This window comes from Homo sapiens, chromosome 2, assembly GCF_000001405.40.
Source record: "Homo sapiens chromosome 2, GRCh38.p14 Primary Assembly".
Taxonomy (NCBI): domain Eukaryota; kingdom Metazoa; phylum Chordata; class Mammalia; order Primates; family Hominidae; genus Homo; species Homo sapiens.
This window is the reverse complement of record NC_000002.12, coordinates 159,954,761-159,978,232: the sequence shown is the minus strand read 5'-3', so window position 1 is coordinate 159,978,232 and position 23,472 is coordinate 159,954,761. Positions and strand designations below refer to the sequence as shown.

The window sequence follows — 23,472 nt, the reverse complement described above, 5'->3', positions numbered from 1 at the left end:
GAGTTATGTGGTCACTCATGGAAAGTGACCTGATAGATTCCTGATTAAAGCTAGCTATAGCTTAGAATTTAGTTATTAGAGACAAAAAACTTAGCATATGTTCAAAGTAATCAAAATCAAAGTTAATACCAAGATCTGGCACACCCTTGAGTCCCTAAGTTTACCCAGGATTCCAAGGCTAGAAAATTTTCCCAGTTAGAAAAATGTGCAAATTCAGACCAAAGCTTGCATTTGATTTGTTCCTTCTGGAGAAAGGAATAGCATACCTTTTTTTAATTTTTATTTTATTTATTTATTTTTTTTGAGACAGAGTCTTGCTCTGTCACCCAGGCTGGAGTGCAGTGGTGGGATTTCGGCTCACTGCAAGCTCTGCTTCCTGGGTCCACGCCATTCTCCCGAGTAGCTGGGACTACAGGTGCCCACCACCACAACCAGCTAATTTTTTGTTTTTGTATTTTTAGTAGAGATGGGGTTTCACCGTGTTAGCCAGGATGGTCTCAATCTCCTGAGCTTGTGATCTGCCCACCTTGGCCTCCCAAAGTGCTGGGATTACAGGCATGAGCCACCGTGCCTGGCCTTTTGTTTTCTTGTTTTTGTTTTTGTTTTTTAAAAAGGCATCTTTAAGAAAAAAATGCTAAATATTGATTAGCTTGTTCTTCACAAATGTGAAACAACCTTCAACTAGAATGACATCCAGACATTTCTGAAGCTTCCTGGAGTAGCCTATAATGCTTATGTACAGGGATGCCCTTTTTGATCTTTTGAAACTTTGTGGGGGGATCATCATTAAGGAATAATGAACTTCATCTGCTGCAGGTTGTCTCTTCGTTTTTAGACAACACTTATTTTGGAGAAGATGCAAGAAACTGTGCTGTTTATAAGGCAAACAAAACATTGCTGCCCTTACACTGTGGTTCCAAACGTGAATGGATATGCAAAATCCCAAGAGGTAAAAATAGTAGTAAGATCTTTGCTATATGTTTGATTTCTAATAATCTCTAGTACTTTCCCAATTTAAACACCCCAAACCACAATATCAACAAATTGCATGATAAAATAAATTACACTACTTTAGCAAAAAATGTTTCTATAGGAAATGGGAAAAGGCGACACCAATGCAGGATGCCAAGTTAGTTCATTGGGAACTAAGGTAACCAGCTAATATTGCAGAATATTTATAGTGCAAGTATAGTCGGGGAAAAATGTCACTTTGACATTACAGAGCAAATGGAATTACTTGCACAATGAGTAAGTGGAAACACCTGGGACAGTGTGTGGCACACAGTGGCCTCAGCAAGTGCTCATGTCCTTCCTTCTTTAATTAGAAGCCTCTCTGGAGCTTCCTCTTCAAGTGTGAGAACTCACCATATATTCCAAACAGCACAATGTACCTGTTTTAAAGTGATGTTTTAAAAGATGAAGGACAAAATAGTGTGTTTAGAGCTGAAGTAATTCACAGACAATGCACTTGAGAAGCAAGATCAGTCAAAGTGATTTGCTTTCACTTTGCAGATGTGAAACCCAAGATTCCGTTCTGGTACCAGTACGGTAAGAATGACTCTGGCAGCTCTTGAATTTCTAATTATTAATATATACCATATAAGTGCTATTATATACCATTAATGTGTTGTTACATTTCTCAAATCGAGCCTCTCTTTTCTTGTGTCAACCTAGAGCTAATTTGTTCAAATTAATAATTAATAAATGTAGTCATTTAATATGATTAAGGACTAGTATCATCAATCATTTTCATGACATGCGATTTTAGAATATGTACCTATCCCCGACCTTTTAATACTAGTGAAGGTATCTTGTAAGAGATAGACCAAAGAAAAAAAGCAAGTTATATATCTATTTATGTGCATATGTGTCTGTGTGTGTGTGTTCAAATTCCTGTGTGTGTGTATACAATTATTTTTAATGTTGAGTGACCAAATCTCAAATTTGGGGTCAATCCTAGCATACCTATTTATCATTTCAGCATTATTTTCACTGTTTCTTTTTCAGATGTACCCTGGCTCTTTTATCAGGATGCAGAATACCTTTTTCATACCTTTGCCTCAGAATGGTTGAACTTTGAGTTTGTCTGTAGCTGGCTGCACAGTGATCTTCTCACAATTCATTCTGCACATGAGCAAGAATTCATCCACAGCAAAATAAAAGCGGTACTTGAACATAACTCACCACGAAAAATTCAGAGTTTAGCACCTTCTTTTGCCCTTGGGAGGGAGGGAGGGATAGTTTTTTCGATTTGACTTCGGATATTTATTTAAACTTCAGTAAAAGCCATAGATTTCAGTAAAGCCATAGATTTTTGAGAATTTTTTTCCTATTATAGAGATTAAGAGAAAATAATGGAGGTACAGGTTTACTGTATTGCTCAGTCATTTCCCTTCTCTTCATTCTTTGTTAGCAACAATGGTGAGCACGTCGAGATTGTTTCATGAGGTTCATTCGATCATTTAATCACTGGTAGAACTGGGGTTTTACCAGTGATTAAAAAAGACCCAAATTCCTATCTTCATGGAGTTTATATTCTCGTCTGGGAAGAAAGACCATAATCAATTCGAGTAAATAGAATTATATAATATATTAGAAAAAATAAGTGGATAAATGCCACAGAGGAAAATTAAGCTCAAATGAGGGATGAGGAATACCTGGGGGGGTGCCTGGCAGTTTTAAACTTTCAAATCTTACAAGAGTACATTATTTTTAAGTTTGTAAAGACTAATATACAGAAAATAGTAAGGAGTAGTTTTCTATTTCAACTTAAAGTAGAGAAAGGCTACTTAATTCCTTGCAGAACTAAGCTAGTAAGAAAGAAACATGTAAGACCTATTAAATAATAAACTGGCAAAGAATAGTGTACTTTTTCAGTGTGTTCCTTCAATAAGCATTCATTATCAAGTATGTGCCAGGCACTGGGATATTTGTCAAAGATGCAAAAATGTATGAGATACAGTCTCTGTTTTTAAAAAGGCTAGATATATATACTTTAAAACATCATGTTGTATACAATAAATACATACAATTTTATTTTTCAATTTTTAAAACATAAATTTAAAAACTAAAGCTGGAAGTGATATGATGTAGTAAATAGAAAGGGCACAGAAAGTGCAAATTACAATGGGGGCATGAAGGCGGGAAATCCTCACTCCCCTTTCCCTTGGAAGCTTTGAAAGCAAGAAAAAGCCATTTTCTTTTCCTGTAATTTAATCATATTTCATGATCTTCAGGAATCCTTTCTAACTCTATCATCTTTTTATATCTCTGTAAGTTGACTATAAAATGAAGCCCTGTATTAAAGCATCCTAGGCTTGAGAAAGAAATGTCTTTCCTCACAGTTCATGGGGATTTACTGTCTCTATATCTTGTCTGTTGCACATACAGCCCATGAGGTACAAGCAGGTCAGGACTCCTGCTACATTCTGATGAAGAAGCCGAGAAAAAGAGAAGTTAGATGACAATCACATGGTCCCATAGACACTCAGTTGCAGAACAACCACTAGATGTGGAATTTTCCCCATCATAAATTTGTACACTATTTTGTCACCCTTCCACTCTTACGAATGGAACACTCAAGCCAAAACCATAATGTTCAATATGAGCATGTTCAATTCTATACCATGATGTCGGAAAATACACATTTCTTTAGCCAGACACCATACTCCTCACCTCAGAGGGCAATAACAAGAGACCAGATGAATGGCTGAAAACTAATCCATACGCATGCAAAGTATACAACCCAAAAAGAGCTGATATTTGGCTATACTTACCATAACTGTTTCAGGTACTATGATAAGTACTAAAATGTAATCTTCCCAAGAACCCCCTGTGGGAAGTCTATTATTAGTACATTTTTACAGGTGAGTAGGCTAAGACTTCAAAGAGGTTAAGCAACTTGGTTACACAGCAGCTAAGTGGTGGAATTTGGAAAGAAACCCAGGCCATCTTATTTATCCAGTCATTTAAAAACCCTACACGGTGCTGCCTGTGACAGTGGAACAGCAGTGTCAGGGCATGTAAGAGCACAACGTCTTCATTACATCAAAAGCTAGTTCCAAAATCCTCCCCAAAACATGGCTGCCAGCTTCGTCTCAGACATGAACAATGAAGGGCTTCTTTGATCTTTCCAACAGAGCTTAGCTCTGCTGGGAACTTCTGTAGATCTTCTGTCTTCACCTTTCCTCTTAATTCATCTCCTAATCTTTGGAAGTTGGGAAGCCAATGGGGATGGCGTAGATAATGCCTCCCATGGAAGGGAAGGGCGAAACCCCACAGGCTGAGCAGTTTGAGTCATCATAGCCACTGCCATGATCTAGTTGAGGATTCTGACCTCAAATCAGACAAACTTTATGGTGCCTTATATGGCAAAATTGTCACCTGGCCTATGACCACGTTGATGTAGAATGCCCCATCAGTTTCATGGGTAAGGTGCTAACTAATCTCCCCACTGTGCTGCAAAAGAAAGTTATGGGAAGGTATAGGATTTGAATACTGAGAACAGGGCCAGGGGACTGTCCTAGTCTTTTCAGGCTGCTATAAAAAAACACTATAGACTACGCAGCTTACAAACAACAGAAAATTATTGCTCACAGTCCTGGAGGCTGGAAACTCAAGATCTAGGCATTGGCAGATTTGATGTCTGGTGAATGCCCACTTCCTGGTTCATATGTATCCTTACATAGTGGAAGAGGCAAAGGAGCTCTCCAAGGTCCCCTTTTAAGGGCACTAATCCCATTCATGAGACACCCCCACCCCCCACCCTCATGACCTTATCATCTGCCATCTGCCTTGTAATATATCACCTTGAGAGTTAGGATTTCAACAATGTAAATTTTAGGGGGACACAAACATTTAGTCTGTAGTGGGGTCCAAGGGGAAAGGATATCAAATTAGAAAGAAGAAAGCTGTTGCTTTCCAAAAAATTCTTATTTCTGCATAATTTGTGCCTACCTTGGGCACTTATTGTTGGTGGTGGTGATAGTGGTGTTCACATTTTGTAAGAAAGAAACCCCACACCTAAGAACGTCCTGCTGGAATGGGTCAATCCAGAAGTTACTTCATTCCAGGATGAGGAGCAAGATGTGTAGAGGTGATTCCACTCACTTCTGTCTCACATTTATCTTATAAATGTAGGAAGAGTACAAATAAGTAATTAAATATTTTTAAAATTACGTATGTGCTTTGTGTAGCTTCCCTAAGAAGAGCAGTGATTAGAATTGTGAAAAACAAAAATAACAGTTAGTTGCAGTGTCAAAAAAATTAATTATGAACAAGCAAGCTAGATACAGTTTAAAAATCTGAAGCAAATAAAAATTTTAATAAAATGTTTCCATCTTGGAAAAAGAATGTCAATATTTTCTCTCCCACTCTTTGAGTAACAGAAGACCATAAAGCATGATTAGAGTGAATTTATTTTTTGAGCCATCTTGATAATCACATTAATGCTGAAAAAACGCTGCAAGCACTTTAGGAGTTGTTTGACACAAACTACTAGCTAATTAGTCTGCTTATCTGACATTTTTACACTGTTATGCAGTATTGTCATTTTGAAATGGCAATTTACCATTATTATTAAATTTTTATTTCTAAATGCTTCTCAAAATACATATCAAATCTATTAGTCCTCCTCCAAAATATCATTTGTCATCCTTGATGGGAACATTTTAAAAGATGACAGGTTGTTCTTCCTTATATTGCTTTATGGATTAATGTAGTGACTGTCACTGTGGGGTTTTGTTTGTTTTTGGTAAATGCTGTTTCCATATGATGCTAACTATAATGGCTGTTTGTAAATACCAAAACATAGTTGATGTTATAAAATGCATGTTCATATGACATTTTTTAAGCCCTGAGCTTACTTCTCTATCACATTTCTTTATGCAAACACATGTTAATAAGTCTTCTATTGTTGTGGCCTTCTTAAGCTAAAATTTCAAACATCCATTTTCACATTGGATGTTCCATTCTGGGTATCTTCTAGCATCTCCTATGAAGTTCAGTTCTGTGCCATATCACAACAGGTTGTGATGTGCCATGTGGAGGTTACCACGCCATAATTGAGGTGGTAATAAATATGCCACTTAGGATGCAGCAGTTATAATTTCTCTTTAGAGGTCCTTAATTGGGGCAGTGAACAATCCAGGCCATGATTTCCAGTCCCGTGGCACATGAAACCTCTTTAGATTGAATGAAATTGTTGTGGTTCCCCCACTGAGTTAACAGCCAGTCTCAGTGGACCCATTCCAACGTCTGACAATGGGAATCTGAATTCAGCCTGTAAGAACATGTCCACGAAACAACACCTCAGGGATACAAAATTACAGTTGTTCCATCTTGCATTATTCTCAAATTGCTGATATGACAAATAGCCATGCTGTTTACAGAATAAAAATACCTGTTTATAAATTAGATTGTTAGAGGGCTATTGGGTTCTGTTGTATGGAGAGCTGAAATTCCTATGGAAAAATAATGTATCTTAAAATTTCTTCTGAAGTCTTTACAGAAGAAACGAGAGTACAAATTTAAATATATAATGCCTTCAAATTAACAGGATTTTAGCATATAAAAATTAACTTACAGTTCAGCACACAACACACACACACACACCCCCATTAAGTATACTGATTTACAGGTCTTAGAAAAACCCTTACTTCCTCTTCCTCTTTTATAGTTAAAGAGGGAATTTCAATTTCCTGGGTCATAAGTCAGTACATCTGCCCTAATGTGTGTGTGTGTGTATGTGTGTGTGTGTGCGCGCACACACGTGTGCACATGCATGCACATAGTGCTTTAATTTTATACTTTATTGTACTTAGGTCCAAGTGATTAATAGTGGTATAAAATTAGTAAAATGTAAAAGGATAATTTTCTTTTTGTTGTTGTTGTTCAAGTCTTCTATTTCCTTACTAATTTTTACTACCTTTATTCTGAACACTACAACATTACTAATACAATCTTAGATTAAGTGGTTTTTTTATTGGTGATAACTATATCACTCTGTTAACATAGAATTTATAATCTACTAAAATTCCAATTTTTTGTTATACAGTTTAATTTTATATTAAAAAGTACATATTTTGAAATGTGTCCATGTTGACACATATAAATCTGGTTCCTTTTTTTATTATTATACTTTAAGTTCTGGGATACATGTGCAGAACATGCAGGTTTGTTACATAGGTATACATATGCCATGGTAGTTTGCTGTACCCATCAACCTGTCATCTACGTTAGGTATTTCCCCTAATGCTATCCCTCCCCCAGCCCCCCACCCCCCGACAGGCCCCAGTGTGTGATGTTCCCCTCCCTGTGTCCATGTGTTCTCATTGTTCAGCTCCCACTTATGAGTGAGAACATGCGGTGTTTGGTTTTCTGTTCATGTGTTAGTTTGCTGAGATTGATGGTTTCCAGCTTCATCCATGTCCCTGCAAAGGACATGAACTCATCAAAAGGATAATTTTCTAGTTGTCAAACACTGGGCACTCTGTAGTATTCTTTTGTCCTATATTGTGTCTCTCTATTTGAATGGGAAGGAAAGCTTATACTGCTTAAAGCTTAGCAATCAGACTAATACCTAAAATCAGTATCTTTATACTAATGATGCCTTGATACCTTGAATTGTTTTTCAAATACATGTGACATATGCAATGAATTATAAATCACTGAGAGGGTAAATAACTGAGAGGATGAGCCAATAATTTTTTGTCAGAAAATGAATTCATTTTCTAATATTACTTTTTAAAACCTTCTTAGAGAGTTAGAAACATTACTTTTCAAGTTGTATGAAACTAAAATTATTTTCCATGTTTGATTCCAGTTTTTCTTCGTAATGGGGGGAATATTTTAGGATAATGAAGTTTCAGGTTTTCTCAAGATGCTAGGCCTTAGTGTATTCTTCCTTAGATAATTGGGTAAAATACTGAAGAATAGAAAGCTATTAGCAGCAACCCCATTACTCTTAATAGTGAAAAAGGAAAACAAGTAGAATAAATGCTGACTTTTTTTCTTTCAATAGCTATCAAAGTATGGTGCAAGTTGGTGGATTGGACTTCAAGAAGAAAGAGCCAATGATGAATTTCGGTATGAACCTAGATTCATTTGCATTTAATTTTGTTTGACAGGTTTTATTTGCAGAATGATTAGATTCAATTTTAGTGATCAATTTGTTGAATACCCTTCAAACATTAACTTATAAATTTTCACTTCTCTAACCAAAGACATGAGTGTTTTTTAAAGAATATGCTTATGAAACCATCCCGACAATCTAGCCATAAACATATCCATCACCTCCAAAAGCTTTCTTTCCTGCTCTATTCATTTATTTATTTATTCACTAATTCATTCATTTTTGTGATGAGAACTCTTAACATAAAATCTACCCTCTTAGCTGGGCGCGGTGGTTCACACCTGTAATCCCAGTACTTTGGGAGGCCAAGGAGGGCGGATCGCCTGAGGTCAGGAGTTCAAGACCAGCCTGGCCAACATGGAGAAACTCTCTCTCTACTAAAAATACAAAAATTAGCTGGGCGTGGTGGTGCGCACCTGTAGACCCAGCTACTTGGGGGGGCTAAGGTAGGAGAATCACTTGAACCCGTGAGGCAGAGGCTGCCGTGAGCCGAGATCGTGCCACTGTACTCAGCCTGGGTGACAGAGAGAGACTCCATCTCAAAAAAAATCTACCACCTTAGAAAAATTTTAAGTATATGATACAATATTGTTAACTATAGGTACTATGCTACATATGAGTATATTTTTTAAATTTAATAGAATATTATATCTTCAATCCCTACCTCAGAACTCTAAGAATGATGTTGGAGACTGGACATGCAGAATGAGAGAAGACCTTAACATTTTTAATCTTCCCACAGCTGGAGAGATGGAACACCAGTGATATACCAGAACTGGGACACAGGAAGAGAAAGAACTGTGAATAATCAGAGCCAGAGATGTGGCTTTATTTCTTCTATAACAGGTTATTTTACTTACCCATTTTTGGGTTTATAATACAAACTGATAATTTTCAGGAGGCTTAAAGTCTTTTCCTTGCATCATTTCCATGAGAAGTTTCTGTTTATTTCTCTTTTCAGTTGACGTGTTCAGTTTTGTCTGCCATAAGGCTTAAGGATGGCCATTTTTTTCTGTTCAATCCATGCATTCATGTTCTTGGAAATAATTTACATCTGAATAAGTCCTTCCTCATAAATCAAGACAGCACCAGAAATGGGCCCAATGAAACTTTAAAGAAATATATGCCTGACAAATACTTTTTTCTATGGTATTTCAATGGAAGCACTTTTTAAAAAAATCTATTCCTATATCCAATTTATAATGGGCCAGAACTTTAACCTCTGTGAAATTTACTTCCATTTTCCTATTTAATAAATGTTTTGATTCAAGTCAGTATTCTTTTTTCTTTTACTACCTGTCATCAATTGCTGCTTGCTTTAGAATGGCAACTGTTTGCAAGTTGGATTTAGAAGCACATTTAGGTTGAAGATTGGTTTTTTAAATTCTCCTCATCAGTGCAGTGTAGTTAGGTTGATTGTCCACTCATTCCCCTTCTTTCTAACCAATAAAAGATAATGATACCCATTACTCTAACAGATTCATAACTAACCTGTGCCCCAGGCCAGGAGAGGGATAAACACAGAAAATAATTTTGGGTGTGAGGGCCTCTGCAGAGAGTTAGGAAAGGAAAATCCGTGTGGTTAATCAGCCTGCTTTTACCAGCAGGTGTCACAACAGCCTACAGAAAGGACTGTTTTGAGCGTCTGGGAGAATAGCAGCTAATCTGCATTGAAAATAGCATTCCAGCCCTTCCTTCAAAATGCCAACATCTTTTGGGCTCATATTCCTGATCTAGAAAACTGAGCCTGCCCTTGCAATTGGCATGCATTCTGCCCTGTTCTGGAATTTATGACTTGGATGCCAATAAAATGCATTCTATAATCCTTATTCTGAAAATATAGCTCTTCTAAATTAAAAAAAAAAAAAAGCAGTTAGTTTGTCGGAGGCTAAGGATTTGAGGATATTTCTTACTGAAGACATGTCTATATGTGAGTCTGGTTTACTTAAGGATCAGTATTAAATGCTGTTTTCTTGGAAGTTCTTGAGTTAATTTTTCTAAATTATTATATTTTCTAAAGAATTATAAAGTAGAAATTATCTACTGTTTTAGAATCTTTTTCCTCTCTGTACATTGAAATTGAACATTTTAAAATGAAATTGTTACCCTACAAAGTATTCTTTTGCTACACAAGTCAAATATTCTTAAGATTTTAATCAGTTCTATGATTCAAATTGCAGTATTTATTTAGATTTTTTTAATTTGCAAAATTTTTACATTCTTAAATTAAAATTACTGAGTTGGCCTTGCCCAGTTAGCTGTTGTCCCTAGAGAAATCTAAGATCAGTAGTTTAGTTCAGTTTCTAGATTTTAAAAAATAAATTATGAAAAACCATAGCCTCATAAAAATAGTGATCAATAGAGAATGCCTTCAAAGAATCGCCATTGTTCCTAAGCCATTTCTAACCCATTTTCTCCTCCAGGACTCTGGGGTAGTGAAGAGTGTTCAGTTTCTATGCCTAGTATCTGTAAGCGAAAAAAGGTTTGGCTCATAGAGAAAAAGAAAGATACACCAAAACAACATGGAACGTGTCCCAAAGGATGGCTATATTTTAACTATAAGGTAAGCTTGTTTTTCAAAAGTTGCCTTTGTTTCTCTTTTGTAGACACTAATTTTGGAAAGTGTTCAAAAAGTGAAAGTGGCTTTTGAAAGCTGTGAGTTGTCCATAGGACCTGGAATTTTTTTGTCACAACTTTCAAGAAATTTGAGTTTTCCATTTAGTAACAAATCTTTTGGAACAAAAGATTTTTGTCAAAAACAGCCTGGACACTGCCCCTCGTTTCTATACTCAGTTTTACTGTTGGCATAGTCATTTATTGTGCTGTATGAATGTTTCATTAGGTGTAACATATGTATGTATATGTATGTATGCATGTGTGTGTGCATATGCATGTGTGTGTGTGCTCATGTGCGTGCGTGTGTGTGCACGTGTATGTATGTGCCTGCATGCCTGTGTGTCTAGGTTCTGCTCCCAAATAAGCTGTAAATTTCAGAGGACCCAGACTCCATCTCCTACTCTTGTGTTTTCCCTGCCTGGAGCCGGCATAGAGCTCTGCCCACTAGTGAATTGAGGGACTAATAACTTAGCTTGGTCAATGTCATCTTAAGCCTCATAAAGCTGGTGCTTCCATGCAGATTTGAATTAAGAAAAAAAAAATTGCCAGTGGGGATATTTTAAACCAGATTTATTATTTCTGATGCTGCCTTCAATTAAGGCCTAGTCTCCCTCCACTCTTCATATTTTATAATAAAATAACTTTATAGGCCTTAGGTGGAAGTAATTAAAATGCATCCCAAATTATAATTGTTTAACTCTTAGAAAATTAAAAAACCCAAACTGTGTCATCATTTCATATGCTAATATGAAATTCCTCTTCAATTGTGGACAGCCAATTTTTAATCTAAGTGTTCAGTTATATTGGCAGGGCTTTCTCTCCTTTGTGATCTTCCTCCCATTGTTAATTTGAGAAATGAGGCCACTTGGATTTTTCACACATTCATTGAGTACCCACCAGACATTTGGCACTGACTTTTAAATTTTTTTAATATCTGGTAAATACACACAATATAGAATTCACCATTCTAGCCATTTTTGTCTACTGTTTACTAGTGTTAAGTATCACATACTCACACTGTCATTCAACAAATCTCCAGACCTTTTCCATCTTGCAAAACTGAAACTGTACCCATTAAACGACTCCCTGTTCTTCCTACTCTGAACCCCTTGGCAACTGCTGTTCTACTTTCTGTGTCTTTGAAATTGACTAATTTAGATACCTCATGTAAGTGGAATCAGACAGTATTTGCCTTTTTGTGACTGGCTTATTTCAGTTAGCATAATGTCCTCAAGGTTCACCCACACTGGCATGCGACAGGACTTCCTTTTGACGGTTGGACAATATTCCATTGTATGGATATACTACATTTTGTTTATCCAGTCATCCATTGGTGGACATTTGAGTTACGTCCCCCCTTAGCTAATTGATTGTATGTTTATTTCTTATATCACTGAATTTTAAAAATATATAGAATTACTATCCTCATTTTACATATGAGAAGACAGATGCTAACAAAATTGTGTGACTTTTCTGAAACTTCACAGTGAATACGCATCAGGCCAAGACGCACTTTTTGTTTTCTGACCCTGAGTCTGGTGGTCTTGCCCCTTTCCTATGCCTGCCACTTCACGTTGGCACTTAAGGACTGCCACTCCAGAAATGCAAATTAAAACAACAATGAGTGATTTGCCACTGCACAGCTACTAGAACGGCCCAAATCCAGAGCACTGACAACACTACATGCTGGCAAGGAGGCCGAACAACAGGAGCTCTCATTCACTCCTGGTGGGAATGCAGAATGGTACGGCCACTGTGGGAGACAGTTTGGCAGTTTCTTACAAAACTAAACATACTTTTACCATTTGATCCAGCAATCACACTCCTTGGTATTTACCCAAAGGAGTTGAAAACTTATGTATATGTAAAAACCTGTCCATGAATATTTATAACATCTTTATTCTTAATTGCCAAAACTTGGAAGCAATCAAGATGTCCCTAGTAGGTGAATAAATAAACTGGTACAACCACACAATGGAATATTACTCAGTGCTAAAAAGAAATTAGCTATCAAGCCTTTAAAACACATGGAGGAAACTTAAATTCATATTACTAAGTGAAAGAAGCCAATCTGAAAAGCCTACAATACTGTATGATTCCAACTATATGACATTCTGGAAAAGACAAAACTAGAGAGACAGTAAAAAGATCAGTGGTTGCCAGGTGTTGCAGGGAGGGAAGGATGAAGTTGTGGAAGATTCTTAGGGCAGTGAAAATTCTCTGTATGATAGCACAATGGTGGATGCATGTCACTAGACATTTGTACAAACTCATAGAATGTACAACACAAAGAGTGAACCCTAATGTAAACTATGGACTTTGGGTGGTTATGATGTGTTAATGCAGGTTCATCGATTGTAACAGATGTACCATTCTGGGGTGATGGGGCATGTGATAATGCGGGAGGCTGTGTATGTGTGGATCAGGTGGGAAATCTCTGTACCTTCCTGGTTTTTTTTGAGATGGACTCTCAGTCTGTCACTCAGGCTGAAGTGCAGTGACATGATCTCCCCTCACTGCAACCTTTATCTCCCAGGTTCAAGTGATTCTCTTGCCTCAGCCTCCCAGGTAGCTGGGGTTACAGGTGCCTGCCACCACGCCTGACTAATTTTTGTATTTTTAGTAGAAACGGGGTTTCATCATGCCAGGCTGGTCTCAAACTCCTGACCTCAGGTGATCCGCCCGCCTTGGTCTCCCAAAGTTGTACCTTCCTCTTAACTTTGCTGTGAACCTAAAACTGCTCTTTAAAAAATGAAGTATTTAATAATTTTTTTTTAAAAAAAAGGGTTGCCATGTCAGCTTAGCCCTATGACACAGTGAGCTCAGTGGCACCATGAGATATTTTCTAGAATAGTATAATTTACTCTAAAACTTTACTATAGTAATGAGGTACACTATTTTTTAATCATTGATACTTTCTGTATACTTCCTATTTTCTCAAACTATAAAATCTTTCTACCAGGTATAAATTATTTTCACATTTTAGTATGAGAAACTTGTAGCTAATATTCAATAAGACACTGAGTGTTACTAAGTCTTTTATTAAAACCTTTGGCAATTAGTTTTTTAAAGCATCTTTATGGTCCTAAATAATGTAACATAACATTTGCCATTTTAACCATTATTGAGTGTACAATTCAATGGCATTAATTACATGCACAATGTTATACAACCATCATCTCTATTTCCAAAACATTCTCACTATCCCAAACAGAAACTCTGTAACCATTAAGCACTAACTTCCTGTTCCCCATCCCCTGGTAACCTCTAATCTATTCTCTATCCCTGTGAATGTGCCTATTCTAGATATTTCATATTAGCGAACTCATACAATATTTGTCCTTGTGTCTGGCCTATTCGCATGATGTTTTCAAGGTTCATTTGTGCTTTAGCATATATCAAAATTGCCTTCCTTCTTGTGGCTGAATAATATTCCTGTGTGGCACGGGCGTGTGTGTGTGTGTGAATATTGCATATTTTGTTTATTCATTCATCTGTTGATGCGCACTTGGGTTGTTTTCACCTTTTGACTATTGTGAATAATGCTTCAATGAGCATTGGTGTGTAAGTCTCTGTTTGAGTCCCTATTTTCAATTCTTTTGAATGTATACCTACGAATAGAATTGCTGGGTCATATGGTAACTCAGTAGTTAGCTTTTTGAGGAACTGACAAATGTTCTTCCACAGCGACCAAACCATTTTACAATCCTGCTAGCCGTGTGTGAGGGTTTCAATTTCTCCACATCTTTGCCAACTCTGGCTATTATATAGCCATCCTAGAACACGTTAGGTGTTATTTCATTGTGATTTCGATTTGCATTTCTCTATTATCTGATGAAGTTGAGCATCGTTTCATGTGCTTGTTAGCCATTTGTTTATCTTCTTTGGAAAAATGTCTATTAAAGTCCTTTGTCCATTTTTAAATTGGATCATTTGCCTTTTTATTGTTGAGTTATAGGAATTCCTTGTATATTCTAAATATTAAACCCCATCCAATATGTGATTTATAAATATTTTCAGTCATTCTGTAGGTTGTCTTTTAACTTTCTTGATAATGTCCTTTGATGCACAAAAGTTTTTAATTTTGATGAAACCCAGTTATCTACTTTTTCTTCCGTCACTTGTGCTTTTGGTATCATACTTAAGAATTCACTGCCAAATCCAAGGTAATGAAGATTTGCCCCTGTGTGTTTGTCTAAGAGCTTCATGGTTTTAGCATTTATATTTAGGTTGTTGATACATTTTGAATTCACTCCAGTATGTGACAATTAGTTTTTCACAACTGTTAGAACAAGTTTATCCTGGCATGGTCTCTAGGGAACAGGCATAAAGGAATGCCTAGCTAATCTCCAAATCACATTTCTGGTACAGATAGTGAACAACCCAAAAGCATGAACACAACTGTCCTAGTTACTAACTCATGCCTCCTCTCATGTGTAAAAGAGGATTTTTTTATATACTTTAAGTTCTGGGGTACATGTGTAGAACATGCAATTTTGTTACATAGATATACACGTGCCATGGTGGTTTGCTGCACCCATCAACCCGTCACCTACATTAGGTATTGCTCCTAATGTTATCCCTCCCCTAGGCCCCCAGTCCCCAACAGGCCCTGGTGTGTGATGTTCCCCTCCCTATGTCCATGTGTTCTCATTGTTAGCTCCCACTTATGAGTGAGAACATGTGGTGTTTGGTTTTCTGTTCCTGTGTTAGTTTGCTGAGAATGATGGTTTCCAGCTTCATCCATGTCCCTGCAAAGGACATGAACTCATCCTTTTTTATGGCTGCATAGTATTCCATGGTGTTTATGTGCCACATTTTCTTTATCCAGTCTATCATTGATGGACATTTGGGTTGGTTCCAAGTCTTTGCTATTGTGAATAGTGCTGCAATAAACAAACATGTGCATGTGTCTTTATAGCAGCATGATTTATAATCCTTTGGGTATATACCCAGTAATGGGATTGCTGGGTCAAATGGTATTTCTAGTTCTAGATCCTTGGGGAATCACCACACTGTGTTCCACAATGGTTTAACTAATTTACACTCCCACCAACAGTGTAAAAGTGTTCATATTTCTCCACATACTCTCCAGCATCTGTTGTTTCCTGACTTTTTAATGATCGCCATTCTAACTGGCCTGATGTGGTATCTCATTGTGGGTTTGATTTGCATTTCTCTAATGACAAGTGATGATGAGTATTTTTTCATATTTCTGTTGACTGCATAATGTCTTCTTTTGAGAAGTGTCTGTTCATCTCCTTGGCCCACTTTTTGATGGGGTTGTTTGTTTTTTTCTTGTAAATTTGTTTAAGTTCTTTGTAGATTCTGGATATTAGACCTTTGTCAGATGGATAGATTGCAAAAATTTTCTCCCATTCTGTAGGTTGCCTGTTTATTCTGATGATAGTTTCTTTTGCTGTGCAGAAGCTCTTTAATTTAATTAGATCCCATTTGTCTATTTTGGCTTTTGTTGCCATTGCTTTTGGTGTTTTAGGCATGAAGTCTTTGCTCATGCCTATGTCCTGAATGGTATTGCCCAGGTTTTCTTCTAGGATTAAAAGAGGATATTTTAAGGAAATTAATGACAAGTCAAATCCTTAGCATTTGATAAATAATTCTTAGAAACCTGGAATAGTTGTTTCTGGTTCAGCCTTTTGCTATTATCCTTCCCCCAAACTTGATTTTTACCCACACAGTTCACCTCCATCCCATGTGTCCTCCTGTACACACGTAGAGAGTGTGTATCTATGGGAATGGTGGCAGTGATGGTGGAGCAGACCCAGGGCAAAAGAGCAAGTGAATGCTTCCCATGAAAGGAATAGAGAGGGGAATAAATATGTGCATGAGAATGGCGGGGAGGGGAGGCGCCTTCTGAAGCTAGCCCTGGGGCATGATTAAAACACCCTCATGTAGCTCAGAGTTATAAAAAAAAATTATTGATAACTAACAGCTAGATCAGTAGTTTTCAGCCCTGGTCAAATATTTAGAATCAGCAGGTGAGCTTTTTAAAAACATCAAAGTGCAGGAGACGTCCTGAAGATTCTGATTTAGCTGATCTGCATGGGATCCAGGCATCCGTATTTTTTTAAAGCTCCCTCAGTTATTCTAATGTGTGGCCAATATTTACCCAGCAATTCAACAGTCATAGTTCCACAACTCTTTCTTCAAGGCATTAGGAGCATTTGATTACAAAGGATATCATCACAGCAGGCTTCATAAGTAGGTGGCAATTCACCTGGCACAATGTCAGAGTCACCATGCATGTCTCCCCACCCACAGTGCCTTCTCCTGCGCATTAATGCCTAAAATTCCACCACTGGAGTTTCTCTCCTTTGTCTCAACACTTTCCTTTATTTTTAAAAGGGAAATATTTTTGAGATTGCCTCATCTGTCATCAACATCTTGAAACAAGTAAGTTTATCAGATTATTAGAAAAACTGTTAATAGGAGAGTTGATAGCTGAGAGCGGTGGGATGGTTTTTCCCTATTAACAAATAAAGCTACAGAAGGAAAACTGGGAGATAACAATGATGGACCTTCTTTACTTCACAATTCTGAAATGAGTTCCAATATATTATGTCCCATTAAACTTTGCTTATTGTTTGTGAATTTCCTAGGACTAATTTTTATTGGTTATTTCTAAGGAAAAAAATCCCACTTTGTTGGCAAATTAAGTGGGTTTTAAAACTGAGATACACAGAAATTAAGCATCTTTTCTAATGTCTCATAAATAGTTTTCTCTGTGTTTGATAATGTAACAGAGGTTTGACCAGGGGTTTACCCAGGAAGAATGAGTCATCTAAGATACTTGTCCCAGCAGATCTGTGGGAGGAAGAAATTCTAAGTGTGTGTGTGTGATTAACTCTTGTGCTTCTACTTACATATTTTTATTCAAGACCTGGATTGAGTGGTAATGGCTGCTTTGCACTGTCTAGTTTGGGATTAGTCAATATTTGATTTTGTGCATAACATAGTTTTTTCTTAAAAATACTCTCACCTCTTTTTGGAATTTATTCAAATTGGAGCACTTCATTCATTCATTCATTTACTATCTCGATGTCGGGAATTCAGTGGTGAGGAAAAACAGACACAGCCCCTTCTCTTTTGGTGCTTACACACTAGAGGGAGAACAAACATTAGTAAATCGATCAGGAAAATGGCTGTGTAATTTAAAACTGTGCTGTACGTGATGAAGGAAAGTTATGTGGTTCTAGAAAAGTGTATAGCCAGAGGACCTGACTGAAGTGGTCAGAAAGGCAGGGAACATTAAAAATAGGGGGAGCTGCATGTGCTAAGGTCCTGCAGCAAGGTGGGAGTATGACATTTAAGAAACTAAAGGAAACATAGAGAACTAGAGTGGCCAAAGGTGAGACAAAAGAAGTGGAAAGGGTGATACCGTGTTGGACTTCTGGCCTCTATCCTAAGAGCAGTGGGAAACCCTTGATGGGTTTAAAACTAAAGAAGGACGTGACCAGGACCAAATTTTAAAAAGTTACTCTAGATGTAGTGCCAAGGATATATGGAAGAAGGGCAAGGGTGAGAAAGGTAAGAGCAGTTAGGAAGCTATTGCTGTAGTGCAGGCAAGAGACTGGTAGGTTGGGCTAAGATAGTGGTGGCAGAGACCATGAGGCAGTGGGAATGGGGATGGGTGAGGGGGCTTTTTGGGAAATGAGATGTCCAAATGGTATGGCTGTTGGGGAGATGGAGTGGGAAGGTAAGGATGCCTCTGAGGTTTCAGGCTTATTGTATGTGTATAAGTGCATGCAGACCGTGCCATTCATTGTGAGTAGGAACACTGGGAAAGGACCAAGTTTGGAGGGAACTGAATTTCATTTCCAAATATTGAGCTAGAAATGATTTTGAGACAAAAAAGAATTTTATATTGAAAACCCATTTAGAATACAGTAGGACCCCATTAATTCACAGTAATAATCAGAGATGCATTAAACTTGATCACATTTTGCAAATTAGTAAGTAAACAATTTTAAATTAAGGATGCTGTACTTCATCTTGCTGCTTTGCCTTAATTATTAATGACACAATTTCGGAGTGTGTTAGTAAATATGTTATATTTTTAGAAACAATGAAGTCGTGGTAATTGCAGGCCACACTTCCGTAGTCAAGCTAGTAAATCCTGGCTGAGGCAAACATAGAGGAAGCAGAGGAGATGTTTTTCTGGAGAGATTTATTGAGCTAACTGAACCAATGAGGTTCATTGGTATTTATGAATGGTTCATTAGTGTAACTATCTGAACACAAGGTGAATTCACATTAAATGATAAGACTTCCCAATAATTAATATGTGCCACTCTTTAGAATTTGTAATTAGAGGAAAGAGGCAAAATGAAAGGAAATAGATAAAAGGATAGTTGTTATAAAATTAAACTCCTTGAAAGCCAATTCAGTTTATTTGTGAAGCAAACAAGACAAAAAGGACCAGAAGAATTGAAAATGTATTTTCTCTCTTAGTTGGCAACTCAACCTCAAGCTAGTTCAGTGTTTCTGGTTTTTATCCTAAGAGTAGTGGAAAATTCCTGAAGGGTTTAAACTAAAGGGTGACATGATCAGGACTGAGTTTTAAAAAGAATTACCTTACACTATTGACATTTGGGGTCAGATAATTCTTTCTTTTGAAAGACTGACCTGACCTGTGCTTTGCAAATGGTTAGCAGCATCTTTGTCTCTACCCATTAGTTGCCAATAGCAATCCCCTCCCCAACTGTAACAGTGAAAAATATCTGCAGGCATTATCAAAATATACCCTGAGGGGCAAAATTGTCCTGTTGGAGAACCACTGAGCTAAATTTAGAATGACTGACAATGTCATTTGACAACCATTTTAGGGTCTGTTGTCTTTTATTTTGCTTAATAAATGTTTACTAGGGGCCTTCTCTGGTGTGATGTTCAAAGAGGAGTAAGACTTAGTCTCTCTGCTTTTAAGGGGTGTATGATGGTGGGGAAGGGGTGGAGAACTGAAAAATTTGGAAATTAAAGAATGATGGGGAAAGATATTGTATTAGACCAGTCTTGCATTTCTATAAAGGAATACCTGAGACTGGGTAACTGATGAAGAAAATAGGTTTATTTTGACTTACAGTTCTGCAGGCTGTACAAGAAGCATGGTGCCGGCACCTGCTACTGGTGAGGGCCTCAGGGAGCTTACAATCATGGCAGAAGATAACAGGGAACCAGCATGTCACATGGCAAGAGCAAGCACAAGAGGGTGAGGTGAGAGGAGGTTCCAGACTTTTAAACAATCAGATCTCGCATGAACTGAGAACTCATTGATCACCTAGGGGATGGTCCTAAGCCTTCAAGAGGGATCTGCCCCATGATCCAATCACCTCCCACCAGGCCTCACCTTCAACACTGGGAATTACATTTCAACATGAGAGTTGGAGGGAACAGACATCCAAACTATATCAGATATCATTTCAAAATAAGGTAGGAAAGGATGCTTTTTCAAGTGTAGGTTTCCACGCTAACCTAGAATTATCCTGTAGTGGCGAGATCTTAGGATCTGATCTATCAATGACTAGGGTTATCTGTGTTCATTGATGAGAGAATTGATTATGAGAGAAGAATCCCCAGCAAGTTCCAGATGAAACATCCTTTGCATAAAGTTTCTCCTGACCTCTCTGGAATTTTGCCTGATCCATTATAACCTTTCTCTTCTATCTTTTCCTCTCACCAAACTCCATCTGTTCCTACCAACATTCTTAAATTTCATCGAACTTTCAGGGAAAAACAAACAAACTTATCTTCAACCCTGCCTGTCCTGCCAAGTATGTATCATTCCATTTCTCATCCCATAAGAAAGAAACCTCTGTGGCAGGGCGCAGTGGCTCACACCTGTAATCCCAACTCTTTGGGAGGCCAAGGCAGATGGATCACAAGGTCAAGAGATCAAGACCATCCTGGCCAACATGGTGAAACCCCATCTCTACTAAAAATACAAAAATTAGCCAGGCATGGTGGTGCGCACCTGTAGTCCCAGTTACTCAGGAGACTGAGGTAGGAGAATCACTTGAACCCAGGAGGCAGAGGTTGCAGTGAGCCGAGATCTGACCACTGCACTCCAGCCTGGGCAACAGAGCAAGACTCCATCTCAAAAAAAATTTAAAAAGAAAAGAAAAGAAACCTCTGCCATGATGCAGACATGATTCTCTCTTGCATAACACTCAACTTTTATTGCCAAATTCCACAACCTTTTCTGTGTTCCCTCTAACATTGATGGCCAACCTTCCCCTTCATTTCTACTTCTTCCCAGGTTTCTTTGGTCATACCCTTGCTTTCTGTCCCACTGGGATCATTTATTTTTCTTCTCTGGCTCTTCCCAATAGACTTAGTGACCAAATGGCTGACTCAAGTATTTAGTGAATTTAAACACCTGATGTGTTTGACTCCCCATTATTTCTCTCTCACTTAAAGTAAGGAAGTGTGTTTGTAAATAAAATTGAACTAAGCTGTTCATTGCCACCCCCAGAATGTTTTTGTTTTTTTTTTTTTAGATTAAATGTGCCCATGTAAACTTTGCAATCAGAGTGGCTCCTTTTTAGGAAGAATACTACTTTTCATTGTGCTGAAGGCACTGTTCTGACATTTCACAAGACAAAACGCATCCCTGCTTCTGTTCCTGCCTGCTGCAAATGCAGGCAAGTCATTAACTCACCCTAAAAGCTGCTCCTCTTTGTTTTACTGTAACACCTTTGGAGGAGGTGAAAGAAAAATGAGTTCTTTCTGCCCAAGAAAATTATAAAGAATTTTCAAAGCTGATATTCAGTGTCTTTGGGAAATTTTTAATTCACTTAGAAAGATACAGAAATGAATGTTTTGTTTTGACATTTTTTGATAGTGCCTTCTGCTGAATATCCCCAAAGACCCAAGCAGTTGGAAGAACTGGACGCATGCTCAACATTTCTGTGCTGAAGAAGGGGGGACCCTGGTCGCCATTGAAAGTGAGGTGGAGCAAGGTAGAGTACTCAAGATCCAACCAGGCCAAGATAACCATTTTTATTCAAGTATTTATTAAAATATCCCCCCCACCTATACTAACATTCCCAAATCAACATTTAAAATACTGTGTTGCTGATGATACACGAGTTTGCAGTTTGACCCATAGGTTTTATTTCATGATATCTGTAAAAGTTAGTGTACTGCATTGCTTATAAACTGCTGGGTTTTGGAGCCTTGTCTCTCACCAGTAGCAGTGGAAAGAATAAGGACATATTCATGGCCTATATTTCAAAATGGCTAAAAAGTATGATCTACATGTAATTGCATGGTATGATTTTTAGATCCCTTTACATTTACCTACATGCTTTTATTTGATATTTAATCAATTATATACTTCAGTTTAAATATAGCAGATAAATCCTCTTTTGTTTAGAAAGGTAATTAATGAACACTGGAAATTGTTTTGTTAATGATATGATGAAATCTCAGGTTATCCAGCTAATTTCTGTCAATTTAAACTAAAACAAAAGTGAAAGAAACTGCATTACCTTAACAAGGATAAAGTAACAAATTCCTATAAATGATTCATAATTATGTTTTGCTGGCATTTAAATATAATCATAGCTATAAATAGGATGCAGTGATTACCCAAATGCTTTCTACAGTATTAAATTAGATAATGTATTCCTGTTTTTCAGCTTTCATTACTATGAATCTTTTTGGCCAGACCACCAGTGTGTGGATAGGTTTACAAAATGATGATTATGAAACATGGCTAAATGGAAAGCCTGTGGTATATTCTAACTGGTCTCCATTTGATATAATAAATGTAAGTTTTAAGATTTATTTTTTGGAGATCACTTTGGCAAGATATTTTATTCAAGATTTGTTTACTAAAGCTTTTTTTATTTCCTATATTTTGTAGGTATAAATTTATATTAGTTTTTTATTAATATATTAATTTTTAATGTAATTTTATGTGTTCCATTAATATAATTACTTTACTCATCACAATAATTGTTTATTTTGTAGGTTATGAAATGACTTGTGAATAAGTTTATTAAATGCGAATAAAGGAATAATGGTGTCTTAATTTTAAAAATAATGTCTTAATAAAAATTTTAATGTTATAATAATGCTATATGTTATCATACTTTTGATAACGTGTATTATTTTAAAGATTCCAAGTCACAATACCACTGAAGTTCAGAAACACATTCCTCTCTGTGCCTTACTCTCAAGTAATCCTAATTTTCATTTCACTGGAAAATGGTATTTTGAAGACTGTGGAAAGGAAGGCTATGGGTTTGTTTGTGAAAAAATGCAAGGTAAGAAATATTTGGGTTTTTATTCCTTTCATTTCCAAAGTCCATCCTTCTCTTTCATGTTGGTTTTACACAGCTGTGTAGCTAATGTAGCTAACAGTTTCCTGGCTAACAGTGTCAGGCACTTCTTCTTTGGCTTTACATAAGTTTAGTTATTTAATCTCCTCTACCCTAGGCTTATGCCCTTTAGTGGGATTCTAAGGACTGCCGAGGCCACTTGAGTGATGACCAAATTTATGTATCTATCTTAGTCATATTAAATGGCTTTACTGCTTCATTCTGGGATTATGTATCTGTTCAGGTGATTTTTAAAGGTCACTGAGAAAATGTTGGGAAAGAATCAAGGAAATAAACCAACTCATATTTGCTCCTTTTTTGGAACCCTGAAAATGGTCTCTGTGGCTAAATGTGGCATGCAGCAATCTTCTAGATCTGATGGGC

The 23,472-nt window shown here is 37.1% G+C and overlaps 1 protein-coding gene across 18 annotated transcripts in view; it reads left to right on the top strand.

The window, feature by feature from the left end:
* The window catches only part of PLA2R1 (phospholipase A2 receptor 1), a 138,683-nt gene that overhangs the window by 84,383 nt on the left and 30,828 nt on the right, over nt 1–23,472 (top strand). For 16 of the 18 annotated variants that reach the window (XR_922892.4, XR_007071491.1, XR_001738672.3 and 13 more), the window contains 9 exons: nt 817–949; nt 1,513–1,548; nt 2,008–2,165; nt 8,021–8,085; nt 8,874–8,977; nt 10,555–10,694; nt 21,606–21,723; nt 22,405–22,535; nt 22,887–23,034. Coding sequence is in view for 11 of the 18 variants with exons in the window: in XM_047443729.1 (XP_047299685.1) it covers nt 817–949; nt 1,513–1,548; nt 2,008–2,165; nt 8,021–8,085; nt 8,874–8,977; nt 10,555–10,694; nt 21,606–21,723; nt 22,405–22,535; nt 22,887–23,034 (1,033 nt within the window). In the remaining 7 variants the exon portion in view is untranslated. Of the gene's footprint in view, nt 1–816; nt 950–1,512; nt 1,549–2,007; nt 2,166–8,020; nt 8,086–8,873; nt 8,978–10,554; nt 10,695–21,605; nt 21,724–22,404; nt 22,536–22,886; nt 23,035–23,472 lie in introns of those variants that run through there. The other 2 variants (XM_047443731.1, XM_017003601.3) reach the window with 2 other exon arrangements.